Source organism: Homo sapiens, chromosome X (genome assembly GCF_000001405.40).
Source record: "Homo sapiens chromosome X, GRCh38.p14 Primary Assembly".
Taxonomy (NCBI): domain Eukaryota; kingdom Metazoa; phylum Chordata; class Mammalia; order Primates; family Hominidae; genus Homo; species Homo sapiens.
Window position 1 is genome coordinate 136,969,879 of NC_000023.11, and position 22,480 is coordinate 136,992,358.

General features: G+C 39.7%; 2 pseudogenes; one reads left to right on the forward strand and one right to left on the reverse strand.

Moving 5' to 3' along the window:
* TM9SF5P (transmembrane 9 superfamily member 5, pseudogene) overlaps positions 1-22,480 on the forward strand; it is a 40,579-nt pseudogene that overhangs the window by 7,962 nt on the left and 10,137 nt on the right.
* SRRM1P3 (serine/arginine repetitive matrix 1 pseudogene 3) lies at positions 13,396-15,852 on the reverse strand (annotated as a pseudogene).

Here is a 22,480-nt window from a genome sequence, read left to right on the forward strand (position 1 = left end):
TTACGACTAAGTATGTTAGCTGAGGGTTTTTCATATATGAACTCTGTCAGGTTGAGGATGTTTCTTTCTATTCTTCCTTTGCTGAGAACTTTTTATCAGTAATAGATTTTGGATTTTGTCAGATGCTTTTTCTGCATTTATTGAGATGATCATATGGTTTTCTTTTTTTTAGTTTATTAATATGGTGAATTACATTGATTTGATTTCTATTTTTGACCAGTTGTGCCTTCCCAGGATTAATTTCAATGCTTGTTATCATTAAATTTTCAAGAAAACTCTAAAGTTAATATTACAAGAAGTGGTACTTGAAGGTATGTAATATAATACAAATACAAGTAAAATGCTCTGAGTAGCCTTGTCATGGTTTTTATTCTTTTTATATATGGCTAGATTCGGTTTGCTAATGCACATAGTCCCTGACTTATGATGGTTTGACTTATGATTTTTCGATATTATGATGCTGTGAAAGTAATATGCTTACAGTAGAAATTGTGAAAGCAATATGCTTACAGTAGAAATTGTACTTTGAGTTTTGAATTTTGATCTTTTCCTGGGCTAGCAATAAGCTGTATGATATTCTCTTGTAATGCTGGGCAATAGCAGCGAGCTGCGGCTTCCAGTCTGCCACACAACATGAGGGCAAGCAACAGACACTCTACAGTGAACTGTGTTGCTAACATTTTTGGATGTTGTGTTTTTTGTTTTTGCATCCCATCATGTCTACAAAATGCCCATGCTAGTCAAAGCTATGATGTTTGATAGGTTAGGTGTATTAGATGCATTTTCAACTTACGATATTTTCAACTTACAGTGGGTTTACTGGGATGTAACACAGTTGTAAATTAAGGAACATCTGTATTTGTTGAGGACACCTGACCTGTCCTCTAAATTTCTCATTTTTTTCCTCTTGTAATTTTTATCTCTGTATTTCTGCTCTACTTTATAGATTTTGAATTTTTATATTGATTTTTGTCATTATTGCCATTAGATTTTAGCTCCCTAGAGCTCTTTTTTAATCTCCTTCCTTCCCTCCTTCCCTCCTTCCCTCCTTCCTTCCTTCCTTCCTTCCTTCCTTCCTTCCTTCCTTCCTTCCTTCCTCTCTCTCTTTCTTTCTTTCTTCTTTTTCTTTTTTTTTTTGAGAGTCTGGCCCCATCAACCAGGCTGGAGTGCAGTGTTGTGATTTGTGCTCACTGAAACCTCCACCTTCCAGGTTGAAGCTATTCTTGTGCCTCAGTCTCCGGAGTAGCTGGGATTACAGGCTTGTGCCACCATGCCTGGCTAAGTTTTTTGTATTTTTAATAGAGACAGGGTCTCACTATGTTGCCCAGGCTGATCTCGAACTCTTGGCCTCCAGTGATCTGCCCACCTCGGCCTCCCAAAGTGCTGGGATTACAGGCATGAGCCACTGCGCCTGGCCTTGTTTTCTTAATGTTCCTTTAAAAAAGCATCTTGTCAGTGTTCCATGAGTGTAGTATCATATTATACCTCTCTTGGGTTACTAATGATAAGTATTTTTTCTCAATGAATAGTATCATTTTCTTCAGACTGACTTTCCCTTTTTGTTTTCATTTCTATCTTTCATGCTACAGGATTTCCTCAAAGGTCTGGCAATGGCTGGTTATATGTACGCATATGATGAAAAGTGTGAGAATAAAATACTAAATGAAAATACTAAATGAATGTTATGAGTGTGTAGGGAAGCTTATAGAATTGGCGCTTCACTGTTTGCTGATCTAGGTGTACTGTTTTTAGTGGACCCTCTTCTGTCAATATCTTTAGGGTTTAAGCCTTGAGATAGTAACTTTTCCCAGAGAAAACCTGGAAATTCTGATCTCCTGGCTGAAGGGTTAATGTCTGGCTGTCAGCATTCTGGGAGGTGTCTAGGGGAAAGGAGCCAAGTGTCTTGACATGTGCCATGTAGCTGCATATATACCCAAGCCCTTAATCATGTCTGATGTTCTCCAACCTGGAGAATAAACCTCCAGATATATGCTATAGTTAGAGTGAGGGAGATGATGGATATATCTACTTCTCAAAAAGCTTTCACAAAATTCTCTTCCATTAGTCACCCCACCACACTTAACTCACAGATTACCTGTTGCTGCCAGTTTCTGAGCTTTTTGTGGATTCTGTAGTATAAATTGGGTTGGCTCTCAGCTTTCTCCACTGCCTGCAATAGTTTCTGGCTTCCTTTTATTGTTTCCTGCTATCTGCTCTCCTGTTCTCCCTGTCTGAAGATTGTTTAAAAAAACACTTTTTATAATTTTCCTGTGGTTTCAGAAGAAAGATTAAAGATATGTGTATTCAGTCAGCCATGTTAGCCTAGAATTCTCTATTTTCATGTTTATTTTTTCCACCTATAATAATAAATTGTTGTGATAGAACATTTAGAGATGCAGAAAGAGCATAAAGATTAAAATAATAATCCCCTACAGTCCCATCTTTTTGACTGAACTGGTGTTGACCTTCTGTTATGTTTCCAGTCTTTTTTTCTGTGCGTGTAAATTATGATGCCACATAATGTATACATTTTTTTCCAGCTTTATTCACTTAATGTGTCGTTAAATGTTAAGTCTCAATATTTTAGGTAATCATTGGAAATTCTCTGATGCCATTTTTAACAACCACAGGTATTCTCTTGTATTGATGATAATAATTCACCCTTATATAGTACTTAACTATATGTCAGATATTGTTCCAAATGCTATGCAAATACTAACATATTTAATCTTCCCATCAACACTATGAGGTAGATATTATTGTTGTTATCCCATTTTGCAGATGAGGAAATAAGGCACAGAGTAGTATAGTAACTTGCCCATGGTCATTCAGCTAGTAAGTGGTAGAGTCAGAATTCAGATTCGGCTGGGCGTGGTGGCTCACACCTGTAATCCCAGCAGTTTGGTAGGCCGAGGTGGGTGGATCAGGGATTGAGCCCAGAAGTTTCAAACCAGCCTGGGCAACGTGGCAAAACCCTGTTTTTACAAAAAATACAAAAAAATTAGCCGAGTGTGGTGGCATGCGCCTATAGTCTCAGCTACTTGAGAGGCTGAGGCAAGACAGTCGCTTGAGCACAGGATGGGGAGGTTGCAGTGAGCTGAGACTGCGCCACTGCACTCCAGCCTGTGCGTAAGAGTGAGACCTTGTCTCAAATAAATAAATAAGAATTCAAATTTAAGCAGTCTGGCTTGAGTGTCTATTCTCTTAATCATGATACCAGACAATGCTTCTATATTTGTGCAATCATTTATTTTTTATGCATTGTTAGAAAATTTAGGTTGTTTGTATTTTACATTAATTATAGATTATGCGTGGACAAGTGTCTTTTTGTGTCAGGTTTTGTGCACTTCAGTTTATTTGCTATTGTCCTTCTACATCCTTTCATGTTCCTGTCCCATATCTCTTCCTTTCTAATCATCTCTCTTTATTTTTATGACCCATTCCTCTTAATACTGGCAGTTTGGATCTCTCTTTTGAAAAGCATTCCTGAAAGTTGACAGATGACCTTTCTTCTTGTCAAATTCATTGCATTCATTCCTAGTCTCCTTGATCAGTCTGTAACACTTGACAGACTATTAGTTACACTCATTTTTTTTTCTTTTGAGATGGAGTTTTGCTCTTGTTGCCCAGGCTGGAGTGCAATGGTGGGATTTTGGTTCACTGCAATCTCCGCCTCTCAGGTTCAAGAGATTCTCCTGCCTCAGTCTCCCGAGTAGCTGGGATTACAGGCATGCGCCACCACGCCCGGCTAATTTTGTATTTTTAGTAGAGATGAGGTTTCACCATGTTGATCAGGCTGGTCTTGAACTCCTGACCTCAGGTGATCTGCCTGCCTCGGCTTCCCAAAGTGCTGGGATTATAGGCGTGAGCCACCGTGCCTGGCCAGCTACACTTATCTTTATGAAAAGTTCTTCTCTTTCACTATTCTTGTCATTGTAGGCTTCTAGTTCTTTCACCTCTTTTTTCCTTCTCTTAACTCCCTTCTGTCATCCTCCTATCAAATGTGAACCTTCTTCCTAGTTATATCCTCACCTGTGGGTTCTTCTTTCCTTCCTCTCCCTCTCTTTCTCCTTCTCTTCCTCCACCTTCTTCCTCTCTCCTCTTCCTCTTTTTCTTGATTTCTGCATTCTCTCTCCTTGAGTGATGGCATCCATTTTCATAATCAGTTTCAAGTACTATGTCTTTATAACTGAATTTATTTATTTCTATTTGTCAAACAAGTTCTCTCACATGAAGTTCTTGTTTTTGTTTATATTATCACCACTGTTTTGGTCACGTAGGCTAAAAACCGTATTCATTCTTAGTTTTACCCTTACTCTTTATTCTTCTAAAACATTTATATATCATTCACATACCATAAAATTCACCCTTGAAAAGCCTACAATTCACTGGTTTTCAGTATAGTCACAAAGTTATGAAACTGTCACCAGTATCCTAATTCCAGAACATTTCATGACCCTCAAAAGAAACCCTGTTCATGAGAACACATGGACACAGGAAAAGGAACAACACACACTTGGGCCTGTTGGGGGATGGGGTTGGGGGAGGGAGAGCATTAGGAAAAATAGCTAATGCATGCTGGGTTTAATACCTAGGTGATGGGCTGATAGGTGCATCAAACCACCATGGCACATGTTTACTTATGTAACAAACCTGCACATATACCCTGGAACTTTAAATAAAAATAAAAAAAGAAACCCTGTTCTTATTAGCAGACACTCCCCGTTTTCCCATCCCCTTGGCTGTGAATTTACTAATCTATTTTCTATCTCTATGGACTTGCCTATTCTGGGCACTTAATATAAATGAATCATGAAGCATGTGATATTTTGTGTCTGACTTCTTTCACTTAGGTAATGTTTTCAAAGTTCATTCATATTGTAGCATGTATCAGTACTTCATTCCTTTTTATGATTGAATAATATTCCTTTGTTTGGATGTACCACCTTTTGTTTGATGGACATCTGGGCTATTTTTACCTTTTGGATATTTTGAATTATACTGCTATAAACATTTTTTTTTTTGAGACGGAATCTCGCTCTGTTGCCTAGGCTGGAGTGCTGTGGTGCAACCTCTGCCTCCTGGGTTCAAGTGATTCTCCTGCCTCAGCCTCCTGAATAGCTGGGACTATAGGCACATGCCATCATGTCTGGCTAATTTTTGTATTTTTAGTAGAGACAGGGTTCACTGTGTTGGCCAGGCTGGTCTCAAACTCCTGACCTTGTGATCTGCCCACCTTGTCCTCTCAAAGTGCTGGTGTTACAGGAGTGAGCCACCGCGCCCAGCCTATAAACATTTTTGTACAATGTTTTGAGTGAATATATGCTTTCAGTTCTACTGTATGTATACCTATGAGTGAAATCACTGGGTCATATGGTAGCTTTATGTTTATTATTTTGAGAAACTGTCAGCCTGTTTTCAAACCTGGCTGCACCATTTACATCCCTATCAGTAATGTATTAGGGTTCCAGTTTCTTCGTACCCTCACCAACACTTGTTACTATCCTTTCTTTTATTTCTTTCTTTTTTTTATTATAGCCACCTAGTGGGTGTGAAGTGTTATTTTAGTTTTTTAAAAAATTTAGAAATTTATTCTGTTTAATCCACAAGCTTTATATAGCTTTAGTTTAAAAAAAAAAAACGAAAAAACATCAAAACAAAAACAGTGAAACCAAGACACTATTCCAAAGTCTGGACCCTTCCAGCCTTCCAAATACAAGAGCTCTGAAAGTTGTATATACCGATTGGAAGAACAAGAGAAAAATATGAACAGAGCCATGACATTTCATTAAACAAAATTGTATGTAACTGAAGGATCCTTCCTGGGACTAGCTCATTGCCTTTACAAAAGATAAAACAAAAACAGAAAACCAGAAGAATAAAATGAGAGTCCAGTGTTCCAAATCAACTAGATACACATCAATATAAATCCACAGTGTCCTGGCAAACAGCATGCTTTCATTTTCTGTCTCATCCTAGAGCTCGAATCCTGATTCATCTCAGCAGAGACTCCACAGGCAACAGGAAAGATTATGGCATTGAAATACTCATTTATACTTTTATGGTAGTTCAAAATGGTGGTCTTATTTCTGGGCAAGCTTACAGACCATACAAGGTCAGAAGCATAACTTAAACGGGTGCTAAGACTCAAATGAAAAAAATGTAAAGAAAAAGAAAAACAGAAAACCAAAACCAAACCAAACAAAAAAAAAACCCTCTGGGAATAGCCAGGGCATTTAAAGGAACCATAAAAATGCTAATAGTATTTAAACCTCCCTTTTTAAAAAGGGGATTTTTTTTGGCTTAAAATATTTCACTCTGAATGAATTATGTCAACTGTCAATGAAAGAATGTTGCTAATACAGTGTGGACAACTTTTGCAATGTAAATCCATGCCCCTTGTTTTTACATGGTGAACTTCAACCTAGCAATTATTACAACAAATGTTAGAGTCTAAAGCTCAAACACATTTTAGCAATTTTGAAATTGAACTGCCTACAAACCAAATAAAATTTACATCACAACAAACATTTCCGCCTGACTGTGGGGACACTTGGGCCTTCCTCATTGATCTCAGGACCTTTTCACACAGGTGCTTTTCTTTTTTATTTTTATTTTTCGGAGACGGAGTCTCACTCTTGCCCAGGCTGGAGGGCAGTGGCGCGATCTCAGCTTACTGCAACCTCCGCCTCCTGGATTCACACCATTCTCCTGCCTCAGCCTCCCAAGTAGCTGGGACTACAGGTGCCCGCCACCACGCCTGGCTAATTTTTTTGTATTTTTAGTAGAGATGGGGCTTCACTGTGTTAGCCAGGATGGTGTCGATCTCCTGACCTCGTGATCCACCCGCCTCGGCCTCCCAAAGTACTGGGATTACAGGCATGAGCCACCGTGCCTGGCCAACGCAGGTGCTTTTCTAAGTCATGAAGGTTATCTTCAGCTTCACTTTCAGTATCCTCCTTCGGCTCTGGCGCTGCCACTGGTTCTTCCTGTGATAATGTGGTTGTGGCAGCTGCAGTGGCTGCAGGGGTCGCAGTGGCTGCAGCCACAGCCTTTTCCTTGTGTTTTTTGTGCTGCTTGTGCTTATCCTTTTGGTGTTTCTTGTCCTTTTTTTTTTAAATATATGATGCAATTTTATTACCATTTTTTCTATATAAGTGACACAAAATTTAGACCGATAAAAACAATTTCTTCCATGAAATTTCAACAGCTGAGCTGTGTTGGGAAGAGCTAAACTGCTTGATGTCGGAGTTTTTTTTTTTTAATTATTTAAGTTCTAGGGTACATGTGCACAACGTGCAGATTTGTTACATATGTATACATGTGCCATGTTGGTGTGCTGCACCCATTAACTCGTCATTTACATTAGGTATATCTCCTAATGCTATCCCTCCCCCCTCCCCCCACCCCACAACAGGCCCTGGTGTGTGATGTTCCCCACCCTGTGTCCAAGTGTTCTCATTGTTCAATTCCCACCTATGAGTGAGAACATGCGGTGTTTGGTTTTTTGTCCTTGCGATAGTTTGCTGAGAATTATGGTTTCCAGCTTCATCCATGTCCCTGCAAAGGACATGAACTCATCATTTTTTATGGCTGCATAGTATTCCATGGTGTATATGTGCCACATTTTCTTAATCTAGCCTATCACTGTTGGACATTTGGGTTGGTTCCAGGTTTTTGCTATTGTGAATAGTGCTGCAATAAACATACGTGTGCATGTGTTTTTATAGCAGCATGATATATAATCCTTTGGGTATATACCCAGTAATGGGATGGCTGGGTCAAATGGTATTTCTAGATCCCTGAGGAATCGCCACACTGTCTTCCACAATGGTTGAACTAGTTTATAGTCCCACCAACAGTGTAAAAGTGTTCCTATTTCTCCACATCCTCTCCAGCACCTGTTGTTTCCTGACTTTTTAATGATTGCCATTCTAACTGGTGTGAGATGGTATCTCATTGTGGTTTTGATTTGCATTTCTCTGATGGCCAGTGGTGATGAGCATTTTTTCATGTGTCTGTTGGCTGCATAAATGTCTTCTTTTGAGAAGTGTCTGTTCATATCCTTCGCCCACTTGTTGATGGGGTTGTTTTTTTTTTTTTTTTTTTTTTTGAAATTTGTTTGAATTCTTTGTAGATTCTGGCTATTAGCCCTCTGTCAGACGAATAGATTGCAAAAATTTTCTCCCATTCTGTAGGTTGCCTGTCACACTGATGGTAGTTTCTTTTGCTGTGCAGAAGCTCTTTAGTTGAATTAGATCCCATTTGTCAATTTTGGCTTTTGTTGCCATTGCTTTTGGTGTTTTAGACATGAAGTCCTTGCCCATGCCTATGTCCTGAATGGTATTGCCTAGGTTTTCTTCTAGGGTTTTTATGGTTTTAGGTCTAACATTTAAGTGTTTAATCCATCTTGAATTAATTTTTGTATAAGGTGTAAGGAAGGGATCCAGTTTCAGCTTTCTACATATGGCTAGCCAGTTTTCCCAGCACCATTTATTAAATAGGGAATCTTTTCCCCATTTCTTATTTTTGTCAGGTTTGTCAAAGATCAGATAGTTGTAGATGTGTGGTTTTATTTCTGAGGTCTCTGTTCTGTTCCATTGGTCTATATCTCTGTTTTGGTACCAGTACCATGCTGTTTTGGTTACTGTATCCTTGTAGTATAGTTTGAAGTCAGGTAGCGTGATGCCTCCAACTTTGTCCTTTTGGCTTAGGACTGACTTGGCAATGTGGGCTCTTTTTTGGTTCCATATGAACTTTAAAGTAGTTTTTTCCAATTCTGTGAAGAAAGTCATTGGTAGCTTGATGGGGATGGCATTGAATCTATAAATTACCTTGGGCGGTATGGCCATTTTCACGATATTGATTCTTCCTATCCATGAGCATGGAATGTTCTTCCATTTGTTTGTATCCTGTTTTATTTCATTGAGCAGTGGTTTGTAGTTCTCCTTGAAGAAGTCCTTCACATCCCTTGTAAGTTGGATTCCTAGGTATTTTATTCTCTTTGAAGCAATTGTGAATGGGAGTTCACTCATGATTTGGCTCTCTGTCTGTTATTGGTGTATAAGAATGCTTGTGATTTTTGCACATTGATTTTGTATCCTGAGACTTTGCTGAAGTTGCTTATCAGTTTAAGGAAATTTTGGGCTGAGATAATGGGGTTTTCTAGATATACAATCATGTCATCTGCAAAGAGGGACAATTTGACTTCCTCTTTTCCTAATTGAATACCCTTTATTTCTTTCTCCTGCCTGATTGCCCCGGCCAGAACTTCCAACACTATGTTGAATAGGAATGGTGAGAGAGGGCATCCCTGTCTTCTGCCAGTTTTCAAAGGGAATGCTTCCAGTTTTTGCCCATTCAGTATGATATTGGCTGTGGGTATGTCATAGATAGGTCTTATTATTTTGAGATACGTCCCATCAATACCTAATTTATTGAGAGTTTTTAGCATGAAGGGTTGTTGAATTTTTCAAAGGCCTTTTCTGCATCTACTGAGATAATCATGTGGTTTTTGTCGTTGGTTCTGTTTATATGCTGGATTACGTTTATTGATTTGCATATGTTGAACCAGCCTTGCATTCCAGGGGTGAAGCCCACTTGATCATGGTGGATAAGCTTTTTGATGTGCTGCTGGATTCGGTTTGCCAGTATTGAGGATTTTTGCATCAATGTTCATCAGGGATATTGGTCTAAAATTCTCTTTTTTTGTTGTGTCTCTGCCAGGCTTTGGTATCAGGATGATGCTGGCCTCATAAAATGAGTTAGGGGAGGATTCCCTCTTTTTCTATTGATTGGAATAGTTTCAGAAGGAATGGTACCAGCTCCTCCTTGTACCTCTGTACCTCTGGTAGAATTCGGCTGTGAATCTGTCTGGTCCTGGACTTTTTTTGGTTGGTAATCTATTAATTATTGCCTCAATTTCAGAGCCTGTTATTGGTCTATTCAGAGATTCAACTTCTTCCTGGTTTAGTCTTGGGAGAGTGTATGTGTCAAAGAATTTATCCATTTCTTCTAGTTTTTCTAGTTTATTTGCATAGAGGTGTTTATAGTATTCTCTGATGGTAGTTTGTATTTCTGTGGGATCAGTGGTAATATCCCCTTTATCATTTTTTATTGCATCTATTTGATTCTTCTCTCTTTTCTTATTTGTTAGTCTTGCTAGCGGTCTATCAATTTTGTTGATCTTTTCAAAAAACCAGCTCCTGGATTCATTGATTTTTTGAAGGGTTTTTTGTGTCTCTATCTCCTTCAGTTCTGCTGTGATCTTAGTTATTTCTTGCCTTCTGCTGGCTTTTGAATGTGTTTGCTCTTGCTTCTCTAGTTCTTTTAATTGTGATGTTAGGGTGTCAATTTTAGATCTTTCCTGCTTTCTCTTGTGGGCATTTAGTGCTACAAATGTCCCTCTACACACTGCTTTAAATGTGTCCCAGGGGTTCTGGTATGTTGTGTCTTTGTTCTTGTTGGTTTCAAAGAACATCTTTATTTCTGCCTTCATTTCATTATGTACCCAGTAGTCTTTCAGGAGCAGGTTGTTCAGTTTCCATGTAGTTGTGTGGTTTTGAGTGAGTTTCTTAATCCTGAGTTCTAGTTTGATTGCACTGTAGTCTGAGAGACAGTTTGTTATAATTTCTGTTCTTTTACATTTGCTGAGGAGTGCTTTCCAACTATGTGGTCAGTTTTGGAGTAAGTGTGATGTGGTGCTGGGAAGAATGTATATTCTGTTGATTTGGGGTGGAGAGTTCTGTATATGTCTATTAGGTCTGCTTGGTGCAGAGCTGAGTTCAATTCCTGGGTATCCTTGTTAACTTTCTGTCTCATTGATCTGTCTAATGTTGACAGTGGGGTGTTAAAGTCTCCCATTATTATTGTGTAGGAGTTTAAGTCTCTTTGTAGGTCTCTGAGGACTTGCTTTATGAATCTGGGTGCTCCTGTATTGGGTGCATATATATTTAAGATAGTTAGCTCTTCTTGTCAAATTGATCCCTTTACCATTATGTAATGGCCTTCTTTGTCTCTTTTGATCTTTGTTGGTTTAACGTCTGTTTTATCAGAGACTAGGATTGCAACCCCTGCCTTTTTTAATTTTCCATTTGCTTGACCTTCCTCCATCCCTTTATGTTGAGCCTATATGTGTCTCTGCACGTGAGATGGGTTTCCTGGATACAGCACACTGATGGGTCTTGACTCTTTATCCAATTTGCCAGTCTGTGTCTTTTAATTGGGGCATTTAGCCCATTTACATTTAAGGTTAATATTGTTATGGGTGAATTTGATCCTGTCATTATGATGTTAGCTGGTTATTTTGCTCGTTAGTTGATGCAGTTTCTTCCTAGCCTCGATGCTCTTTACAATTTGGCATGATTTTGCAGTGGCTGGTACTGGTTGTTCCTTTCCATGTTTAATGCATCCTTCAGAAGCTCTTTTACGGCAGGCCTGGTGGTCACAAAATCCCTCATCATTTGCTTGTCTGTAAAGTATTTTATTTCTCCTTCTCTTATGAATCTTAGTTTGGCTGGATATGAAATTCTGGGTTGAAGATTCTTTTCTTTAAGAATGTTGAATATTGACCCCCACTCTCTTCTGGCTTGTAGAGTTTCTGCCGAGAGATGCTCTGTTAGTCTGATGGGCTTCCCTTTGTGGGTAACCTGACCTTTCTCTCTGGCTGCCGTTAACATTTTTTCCTTCATTTCAACTTTGGTGAATTTGACAATCATGTGTCTTGGAGTTGCTCTTCTCGAGGAGTATCTTTGTGGTGTTCTCTGTATTTCCTGAATTTGAATGTTTGCCTGCCTTGCTAGGTTGGGAAAGTTCTCCTGTATAATATCCTGCAGAGTGTTTTCCAACTTGGTTCCATTCTCCCCGTCACTTTCAGGTACACCAATCAGATGTAGATTTGGTCTTTTCACAGAGTCCCATATTTCTTGGAGGCTTTCTTTGTTTCTTTTTATTCTTTTTTCTCTAAATTTCTCTTCTCTCTTCATTTCATTCATTTGATCTTCCATCACTGATACCCTTTCTTCCAGTTGATTGAATCGACTACTGAGGCATGTGCCTTTGTCACGTAGCTCTTGTGCCCTGGTTTTCAGCTCCATCTGGTCCTTTAAGGACTTCTCTGAATTGGTTATTCTAGTTAGCCATTCGTCTAGTCTTTTTTTAAGATTTTTAACTTCTTTGCCATGGGTTTGAACTTCCTCCTTTAGCTCAAAGAAGTTTGATCATCTGTAGCCTTCTTCTCTCAACTTGCCGAAGTCATTCTCTTTCCACCTTTGTTCCGTTGCTGGTGAGGAGCTGTATTCCTTTGGAGGAGGAGAGGTGCTCTGATTTTTAGAATTTTCAGTTTTTCTGCTCTGTTTTTTCCCCATCTTTGTGGTTTTTATCTACCTTTGGTCTTTGATGATGGTGACGTACAGATGGGGTTTTGGTGAGGATGTCCTTTCTGTTTGTTAGTTTTCCTTCTAACAGTCAGGGTCCTCAGCTGCAGGTCTGTTGGAGTTTGCTGGAGGTCTACTCCAGACCCTGTTTGCCTGGGTATCAGCAGCGGAGGCTGCAGAACAGCGAATATTGCTGAACAGCAAATGTTGCTGCCTGATCGTTCCTCTGGAAGTTTTGTCTCAGAGGGGTACCCGACTGTGTGAGGTGTCAATCTGCCCCTACTGGGGGGTGCCTCCCAGTTAGGCTACTGGGGGGTCAGGGACCCACTTGAGGAGGCAGTCTGTCCATTCTCAGATCTCCAGCTGCATGCCGGGAGAACCACTACTCTCTTCCAAGCTGTCAGACAGGGACATTTAAGCCTTCAGAGGTTTCTGCTGCCTTTTGTTTGGCTATGCCCTGCCCCCAGAGGTGGAGTCTACAGAGGCAGGCAGGCCTCCTTGAGCTGTGGTAGGCTCCACTGAGTTCGAGCTTCCTGGCCGCTTTGTTTACCTACTCAAGCCTCAGTAATGGCGGGTACCCCTCCCCCAGCGTTGCTGCCGCATTGCAGTTCGATCTCAGACTGCTGTGCTAGCAATGAGTGAGGCTCCATGGACGTAGGACCCTCCGAGCCAGGTGCGGGATATAATTTCCTGGTGTGCCGTTTGCTAAGACTGTCAGAAAAGTGCAGTATTAGGGTGGGAGTGACCCGATTTTCCAGGTGCCACTTGTCCCCCCTTCCCTTGGCTAGGAAAGGAAATTCCCTGACCCCTTGTGCTTCCCGGATGAGGCGATGCCTTGCCCTGCTTCGGCTCACACTCGGTGCACTGCACCCACTATCCTGCACCCACTGTCTGACAATCCGCAGTGAGAGGAACCTGGTACCTCAGTTGGAAATGCAGAAATCACCCGTCTTCTGTGTCGCTCACGCTGGGAGCTGTAGACTGGAGCTGTTCTTATTTGGCCATCTTGGAACCACCCCCCTCTTGTCCTTTTTCTTCTTTTTTTTCCCACCTCCTTCTTGATCTGGCTTTCTTGGCGGTGATGCTCTTGGTGTTGGGCTTTTGGCCTTTTTGACTGGTACAGCTGGTGTCCAGTTTGTAGATGGTGACTGAGACTGGATGGGGGATGGAGGTGCTGGGGGCTTTTAAGCTGCTGGCTCTGGAGACCTGGAGACAGATCAGGATGATGAGACCCTCATTATAGACTGTGGGCTTGGTGAAGCAGCCTTTTTTGTTTTTTTAGGTTCCAGAGTCCTGGAGACTCCCCTAAAGGGCCTAGTATTTGGAGACAGGGACTGCCTTCTTTGGGGTGATGACGACCCTGCTCTTCAAACAAGTGGAGGACTTGAGGTCTGAGGAGCTCGAGGCCGTGGTGAGGGTGAATGTCATTTGTTTGGTTGTGGTGATCGGGCCTCGTGGGTAGAGCGGCTTGGGGAAGACCCTTTCCTATGCTTGGATGATAATGAAGGTGAACGTCTCTTGGTGACTGAGGAGCTTCTTTGTTTGGGAGGTGGAGAATGGGAGACCCAATGCTTGGGTGGTGGAGATGGTAATGCTCTTTGTTCAGGAAGGGGAGGAGAAGAAGCCATTCTTCTCTTTGGAGGTGGAGAAGGAGAGTATCTCCTCTGTATTGGAGGAGAGTATCTTCTAGGAGAAGGTGAGCACCGATGTGAGGGAGGAGAAGGAGTTCTTTTTCGTGGTGGTGGTGTGGGAGAACTGTGCCCTCGAGGAGGAGGGGCAGGAGAAAGAGACCATCGCCTTCTGGTGGGTGGTGGGGATGGAGTTCTCCTCTGTCTACCACGAGGGTAAGTCTCTTTTTGGCGCTTTTGTGGTGATGGAGAGGCACTCCGGGAAGGGGAATGTCTCCGCCGCCTGCCAACCTCACCATTCTTCACATGGGATCTCATGGGTCGTTCATCTTCTGAAGAGGAGGAGGAGCCAGAGTCAGATGAAGACTGCTGGTTTAGTTGTCTGTATTGGTGTCTCTGCTGCACAGAATCTGCTGCAGCCATTTTACCATGTTTATCTTCTTCTGATTCAGACAACTACTTTTCTAGGCTTTGGTGCTGGTGAACGGCACTCCCTTTTCTCAGTACCTTTATGTTTTGTTACTACCTGAAGTTCTCCCTGGAGACACGGAAACATGATTTTTTCTTGTACAGTTTGACTGCTGGGGTGTTGGGGAATGCTGAGTTTTGGGTGGTGGAGTTGCAGGAGGAGATGGCCTGTACCTTCGCCTTGGAGGACTTGTTGAAGGAGATAACTTACGAGTTTTTTGAGGGGGGCTGGATGTCCTCTTGGGAGGCTTCTTTGGTGGTGACCGGGAATGAGATGAAGAGGATGATGAGCTATTCCCAGACAAGGATGCTGATGAACGTCTTCTTCATCTTACTGGAGATCTACTCCTTCTATGCCTTGGTGGAGGAGGCATTCTTCTTGGTGGGGTTCTTCTTCGAGGAGATGGCTGCCGCCTTGGGCTTGGCCACCTTCTAGGTGAATACGATCTTGATTGGGATCTATGGCGCTGTCTAGGTGGAGTGTGAGAAGGACAGTGGGGACCGCATCTGAGATTTTGATTTGGAGTGTGACTGAGATCGTGGTCGGGTCTTCTTCTGCTTTTCTTTTTTGGAATTTTTTTCCGGAGAAGGTTCTTTAGGCTCTGGTACAGGTTCAGGTTTGGAAACTTTCAGAATGTCACTAGTAGAAGTGGCCTGTTGTACTGAAGGTTCTTTTACTTTCACTGAAGGTTCTGGGAGCTCTGGAGTTTTTTCCTTCTTTTCTGGAGCAGGAAAAGGACTCTGGCCCTTGGTTCTTTGTTGGGGAGATCGAGAATGACTGTGCTTTCTCTCTTCTAACAGGGGAAGATTGTCTTTTAGGGGAAGAAGATTTGTGTCTTCTTGGGCTACGAGACCTCTCCCTTTTTTCTCTGCTGCTTTCTTTTTCTAACTTATGCCTTTTATCTTTGTCTTCATCTTGCTTTTTCATAGACGCCAATTTTTCTTATTCAATCTGTCTTTGTTTTATTTCTTCTTTCTTCAGTTCTAGGAAAGCAGAAGAGATTCCCGAGATGTTTTCTTGTGCACTTAGCAGCAGGGGCCATAGTTCTCCCGTAAATTCTCGAGCATTTTTTCCATTCGAAAATCCATTCAGGTTGATTTGCATCATTTTGGAGTCTGGATTCTTCACTTACAGCTGGTTGAATATAAACTCAATCACAACATCATCTTCAAACCCAAGGATTTTTGTTACTCTTTTTGTTATCCAAGGCTTTATAACTTCCAAATTTACTTTGCTCGTGTCCACCTTTTTTTCTAGGCATTCTGCAAATTTCAGCTGCTTCAGTAGTTTCTTCTGTTTGTTGCTGAACCGATTATACTGTTCTGCACTTGATCGGTGGAAGAATCCTGAGTCCATCTTGCCGCCTCGCTTGGAGATCGCTCCCTATCCCAGGGTGCACCGCCTATTTTATAGTTTTAATTTGCATTTCCCTGATGACTAATGATATTGAGCATCTTTTCATGTGCTTATTGACCATTTGCATGTCTTCTTTGGAAGTATGTCTATTAAAATCCCCATTTAAAAACTGGATTATTTTTCTTTTTATTGTTGCGTTTTAAGAGTTTTTAAAATACATTCTGGATACTAAATCCTTATCAGGTATGTGACTTGCAAATGTTTTCTTCTATCCCATGGACTGTCTTCTCAGTTTCTTGATTGAATTCTTTGAAGCACAAAATTTAAATTTTGACAAAGTCTGTCATTGGTTGCTTGTGGATTTCATGTCACATTTAAGAAACCATTGCCTAATCTAACGTCACTAAAATTTATTTCTGTTTTACAGTTTTATATTTTTATGTCTTAAATTTAAGTCTTAGATCCATTTCAGGTTAACTTTTGTATATGGCACAAGATGAGTCTAATTTCATTCTTTGCATGTGGATATCCAGTTTGTCTTGACACCATCCGCTGAAAAGACTGTTCTTCCCCTATTTAATTGTCTGGAGTTCCTTGGTGAAAATCAAATGGTCATAAATCTATGGGTTTCTTTCTGGACTCTCAATCCTATTTTATTGGTCTATCCTTACATGATAATCCTTATGCCAGTACCACAACATCTTGATTACTGTGGCTTTGTATTAAATTTTCAAATTAGGAAGTGTGAGTTCTCCAACATTCTTCTTTTTCAAGATTGTTTTGGCTAGACTTTTGCATTTTCATATGTATTTTAGAAAGAACTTCTCAATTTCTTCAGAAAGTCAACTGTAAGCTGGGTGCAGTGGTATGTGCCTGTAGTCCCAGCTACACAGAAGGCTGAGGCAGGAGAATCCCTTGAGCCCAGGAAGTTTAAGGCCAGCCTGGGCAAAACAGCAAGACCCCATTTCAAAAAAATAAAATCCAAACAGAATAAAACAAAAAAGCCAGCTGTGACTTTGATAGGTATTGCATGGAATCTGTGGATTAATTTGGAGAATATTGCCATCTTAGCAATATTAAGTCTTCTAGTTCGTGCACACAGGATATCTTTCCACTTGTTTGGCCTTGTTTAATTTATTTCAATGACATTATACTTTGTATGATTTCAGTTCTTTTCAATTTATTGAGACTTTTTTATGGCCCAACACGTGGTCTACCCTGGAGAATGTTCCATATATACTTGAGCAGAATGTATATTCTGCTCTTGTTGGATGGAGTGTTCTGTAGATGTCTGTTAGATCTAGTAGGTTTATAGTGTTGTTCAAGTCTTTCATTCTCTTGTTGATCTTCTTTCTAGTTGTTGTATCCATTATTGAAAGTGGGGTACTGAAGTCGCCAACTATTATTGTAGAGTTGTCTATTTCTTCCTTCAATTCTGTCAGTTTTTGCTTCATATAATTTGGGGGCTCTGTGGTTAGGTACACATATGTTTATAAATTGCTATTTATTCTTGATGTATTGACTTTTATATTGTCACAGAATGTCCTTTATGTCTCATAACACTTTTTGTCTTTACGTCTATTTTACATGATAGAAGTGTAGCTACCCCAGCTCTCTTTTGGTTACTGTTTGCTACACACACACACACACACATACACATTTTATACTTTTACTTTCAACTTAATTTGTGCCTTTGAATCAAAATTATACCTCTTGTAGACATCATATATTTGGATAATTTTTTGAACACTTTTTCCAATCTCTTCTTTTTAATTTTCATCAATTTACGTTTAATGTAGTTATTGATAAAGTAGAATTTGCATCTGTCATTTTGCTATTTTTTCTATGTATTTTATGTCTTTTCTGTTCCTTTGTTCCTTCATTACTGCCTTCTTTTGTGTTAAGTAGGTATTTTCTAGTGTACCATTCTTATTCCCTTGTCATTTCTTTTACTTTTTTTTTTAGTTATTTTCTTAATGGTTGTTTTATGGATTGCTAATATCTTAATTTATAACAATGTAGCTCATATTAATACCAACTTGATTTCAATATTACACAAAAGCTTTGCTCCTCTACAGCTCCTTTCCCTCCCCCTCCTTTGTGCTGTCATTGTCATACAAACTATACCTTTATACTTCATATGCCCATCAATATGGATGCATAATTATTGCATTATGCAATTGTCTTTTAAATTAGATAGGCAGCAAAGGAGTTTCAAACAAATAATGTTTACTAATCATGGAACTTTGGGCAAGTTCTTTAACTTCTCTAAACTTAGATTTCTTCATCTGCAGTATGGAAATAATGATATTATTTACCTTGTATGGTTGCTGCAAGGATTAAGTGGGATAATGTATGTAAAGCATTTAGAACAGTGCCTAACACAGAATAAGTACTCCATAAATGGTAGCTGTGGTTATTAGTTACTATTTTCTTTTACCATCGTGCCTTTGCTCATGATGTTCCATCTATTTGTAATTTCGTTTTTTTTGTTTGTTTGTTTGTTTGTTTTTTGACAGAGTCTCACTCTGTTGCCCAGGCTGGAGTGCAATGGTGTGATCTCAGCTCACTGCAACCTCCGGCTCCTGGGTTCAAGTGATTCTCATGCCTCAGTATTCCGAGTAGCTGGGATTACAGGCGTTTGCCACCATGCCCTGCTAATTTTTGTATTTTTAGTACAGACGTTTCACCATGTTGGCCAGGCTGGTCTCAAACTCCTGACCTCAAGTCATCCACCCGCCTTGGCCTCCCAAAGTGCTGGGATTACAGGCGTGAGCCATGGTGCCTGGCCTATTTGTAATTTCTTCTTTCGAATTTCCCTATGACAGTTTTTTTCATTCTCAAATACCACCACTTCCATGCTCTTAACTTGTACAGTGTCTATTATCACTATTACAACACTTATCACAGTCTTCCTTAGATTGTAGTTATTTGTAATATGTCTTGTCTCCCATTCTAGATTTTAAAACTCACGAGGGCGAATACTATGTCTTCTTCACCTCAGTATTTTTCACAGTGTGTAACTCAGTGCCTTATAATGGAGTAAGTGCTCAGTAAATGTTTACTGTATCACTGAATAATGTGAATAATTTAAAAATTCAAAACAGATTGAGTTTTCTAGTTCTGTTAGTAGATCTGAATGCAATTTTAAAGCGATAAACCAAGAATGATACAAAGGATGTACTTCCCTTAAGTGGTTTATGGACTTTCTCAGGTGAATAGGAGAGAGAGTCATAAGATACTGGGATTCTTATTTCTCAAAATGTGGTAGATTGAAAGAGAATTTCAGTGCCTCACAGCATATAAATGGATTTGGATTCATTAGGTTGGTGCAAAAGTAATTGTGGTTTTTGCAATTCCTTTCAGCTACAAAATTGCAATTACTTTTGCACCAGCTTATAGATGGAGAAGCGATTAGACTAATGAACATATATATTCCCTAAAAGAATGTGAAGACAGTAAAGTTTATTAAACAATGTAGTTTTCCTCCATGTAACCCCCAAAGCGGTAGGTAGGGAAGGGAAGAGGCAGCAGAGTTTGATGGGTATGCATCGAAACTTTAAAATAGAAAGAAGAAAGTTTGAATTTCAGCACTCAATATTAGGCGAGTGACTTTGGGGAATGTCCTATAACATTTCTGATTGCCCATTTCCTTGCATGTAATGCCTATGTCACAGAGGTGTTTAGAGAAGTAAATGAACTAATGGATTGTGAAATTGTTTTGTGAGTTACAAAGCATTTTTGGTCACTCTTTTCTTCTGGGTTCTTACTGCTCTGTGTTCATCATTCTGCCATAGCACTTCCCATGTTGTATTGTAATTTATTTGTTTATATCTGTCTCCCACTAGATTGAGCTTTTTTCAGAGCTAAGATTTTTGTTTTATTTATCTTTGGACACCAGGGCCTAACACACTGGTACTCAATAAATGTTTGATAAATGTGTGAATAAATGTTTCAGGTCGGAGATGAACTCAGGTGACCTATTAAGTTTCCTTCTAGTTTTGCTGTTTAAGATTCTGTGAAAAGGTCTAGAAATAATTAGAGATTGACATAGGAAGAAATATTTAGAATGTGAAAACATGAACTTGGAGGACAGTTACAGATTTGTTAAACACATATTAACATTCTAGAGTGTACTTTCAAAAGGGAAATTGTTGAGACGGGTTAATTGAGTTTATATATAAAAAGGGAGGTTATGATTTGTCAAGTGAGAAGTAATTTTTCTGGCCAAGGAATGATAACAGCTGAAACGAATCTCTCAAAAGCTAGGAAATTTGGCAGAGGAATATTGTGGCTAAACAAATTCATTAGAGCAGAAAGGTATTAAAAACATTTTGAGAAGTGGAGTTAAATCATGGAAAACCAGGCTTCCTTATTAAGATGCCAGAAACTGATGAGACATAAGGTGGAGGTTTTGTTTTGTTTGAAAGAGCTTGAAGCTACATCAACAGGAGCAAAGTATGAGCCTTTGGAGAGCAGAATAGCTATACCTACTGAAAAAGTTGTTAGTAGACAGAAGAAATTGTAAACACAATTTACAATGTAAACATTGTAGAAATAGTAAAATGAAAGAACAAATGACTGAAGTTGATTGAGTAAAGGCCAAATCACTTGTAATGAGAGATGAAAAACCATCCAAAACAATGATTGTAAATAAAAAATTGAGAAGAGATGACAAATATGATGGCATAATTAAAATGATAGACTTGGAATGGACCTTGGGAGAACTTACAACGAAAGAGCTAACCAGAGATTCCCTGAACAGTAGACCTCAAAGCCTAAACTGGTAATATCGTAGAGTGGCTATTAATACAGTCTCTCTCTCTGGTCTCTGACAAAATGTCCAGGAGGGGAGAAGACAGATGTAATTTGTGGAGTGGGTTCAGGGATAATTTTCTCATCATAGAGGCTTATTTATTTATTTGTTTTTGAGACAGAGTCTATGTTGCCCAAGCTGGAGTGCAGTGGCGTGATCTTTGCTCACTGCAACCTCCGTCTCCTGGGTTCAAGTGATTCTCTAGTCTCAGCCTCCCGAGTAGCTGGGATTACAGGTATGTACCACCACTCCTGGCTAATTTTTGTAGTTTAGTAGAGATTGGGTTTTGCCATGTTGGTCAGGCTGGTCTTGAACTCCTGGCCTCATGTGATCTGCCCACGTTGGCTTCCCAAAGTGCTAGGATTATAGGCATGAGCTACTGCACCCAGGAAGAAATATTTAGAATGTAAAAACATGAAGTTGGAGGACAGTTACAGATTTGTTGCACACATATTAACATTCTAGAGTTATCATCATAGAGGCCTCATCATAGAGGCTTTATTATAGCATAGTGTAACGAGAAAAAACTTGCACTTAAAAAATCAGACACACCTGACTTAGAATCCCAGCTCTTCCTCTTTTAGTGGTTTGACCTTGAGCAAAGTACTTAATATCCCTAAAAGACATTAATAAGGAACTCTGTCCCCTTCCATAACTCCTGTTTTTCGGATGTCTGGGTTGTTCATCTAATTTTCCTATAATTTTTTGCCTGTTTTCAATTTTTTTAAATGCTGCTTTCTAAGACAGTTTATCATCTCTATCTTCCAACCCTTTTATTGAGGTTTTAATTCCTCTTGTCATATTTTTAATTCCCAAGAGGCTCTTTTGTTTTCTCAATAGACTTTAAAATTTCTGTTTCTTGTTTTATGGTCGCAATATCTCCTCTAATCTTTCCGAGGATGTCAATGATAGATTTTCTTTTTAAAAGTTTCCTTCTAAGCTTCAGGGATCTTCCCCAAGAGAACAGACCTCCAGTATTCTGCTGGTGTTGGGGAAGGGAAGTTATTTGGCCCTGCAGAATAGGGCAAGGAATCTGCAAGTCAGCTTCCTAGGCTGACTTTCAAGCAGTCCTCCTGGTTATTACCTCTCTTTCATGCCTACTTGCAGGGGTACCTGGTACTACAAGTTCCTGAGCCCTTTTGGAATTCTGTGGTATAAGTGGATTTGCGTTTCAGCTTTCCCTACTGATGACTTGGGATGCAGGTTTCTCAGTTCTGGTGATTCAGTTACTATTTGTTCAGCTGCTATATCTAGTTTCCAACATTTGTTGCTAGTATCTTCTCTCCCTATTCTCCTACCTTGTGTGTTTATGCCATTTTATAATTCCCTTACTGTAATTTTATCAGGGTTTTGAGGAAGGAGCAGAGCTAAACGTGTGAGTTAAATTATCTGCCATCTTTAACCACAAGTCTCTTAATTCTTTTTTTGTTTTTTTAAATTATTTTATTTTACATTCAGGGGTACACGTGCACATTTGTTTCATGGGTATTCTTAACTCTTCATGTCTTTTATATCCATCTCTTTTCATTTTAACCATCACCACATTATACAGCTTCTTACCACTTCCTATCTGGGCTCCTTTCCTCTATCATCTCGTCCCTTAGGTCTGTTTTCCACAATGTTGTGGATTCTTCTTCCCAAACAACTGCACTGTGTATCAGAGTTTTGATTGTAAAAGACTCTTCTGTTGCTTCTTAATGCCAAAAGGAGAAAATCAAAGTCTTCCACAGTCTAGCCTCTGTCTACTGTTTCAACCTTATTTTTTAGGCTTTCCGAAACACTCATATCCATATCCATACCCATCTCCACTTGTAGCTTTGGTCAAACTTGTCTGGTG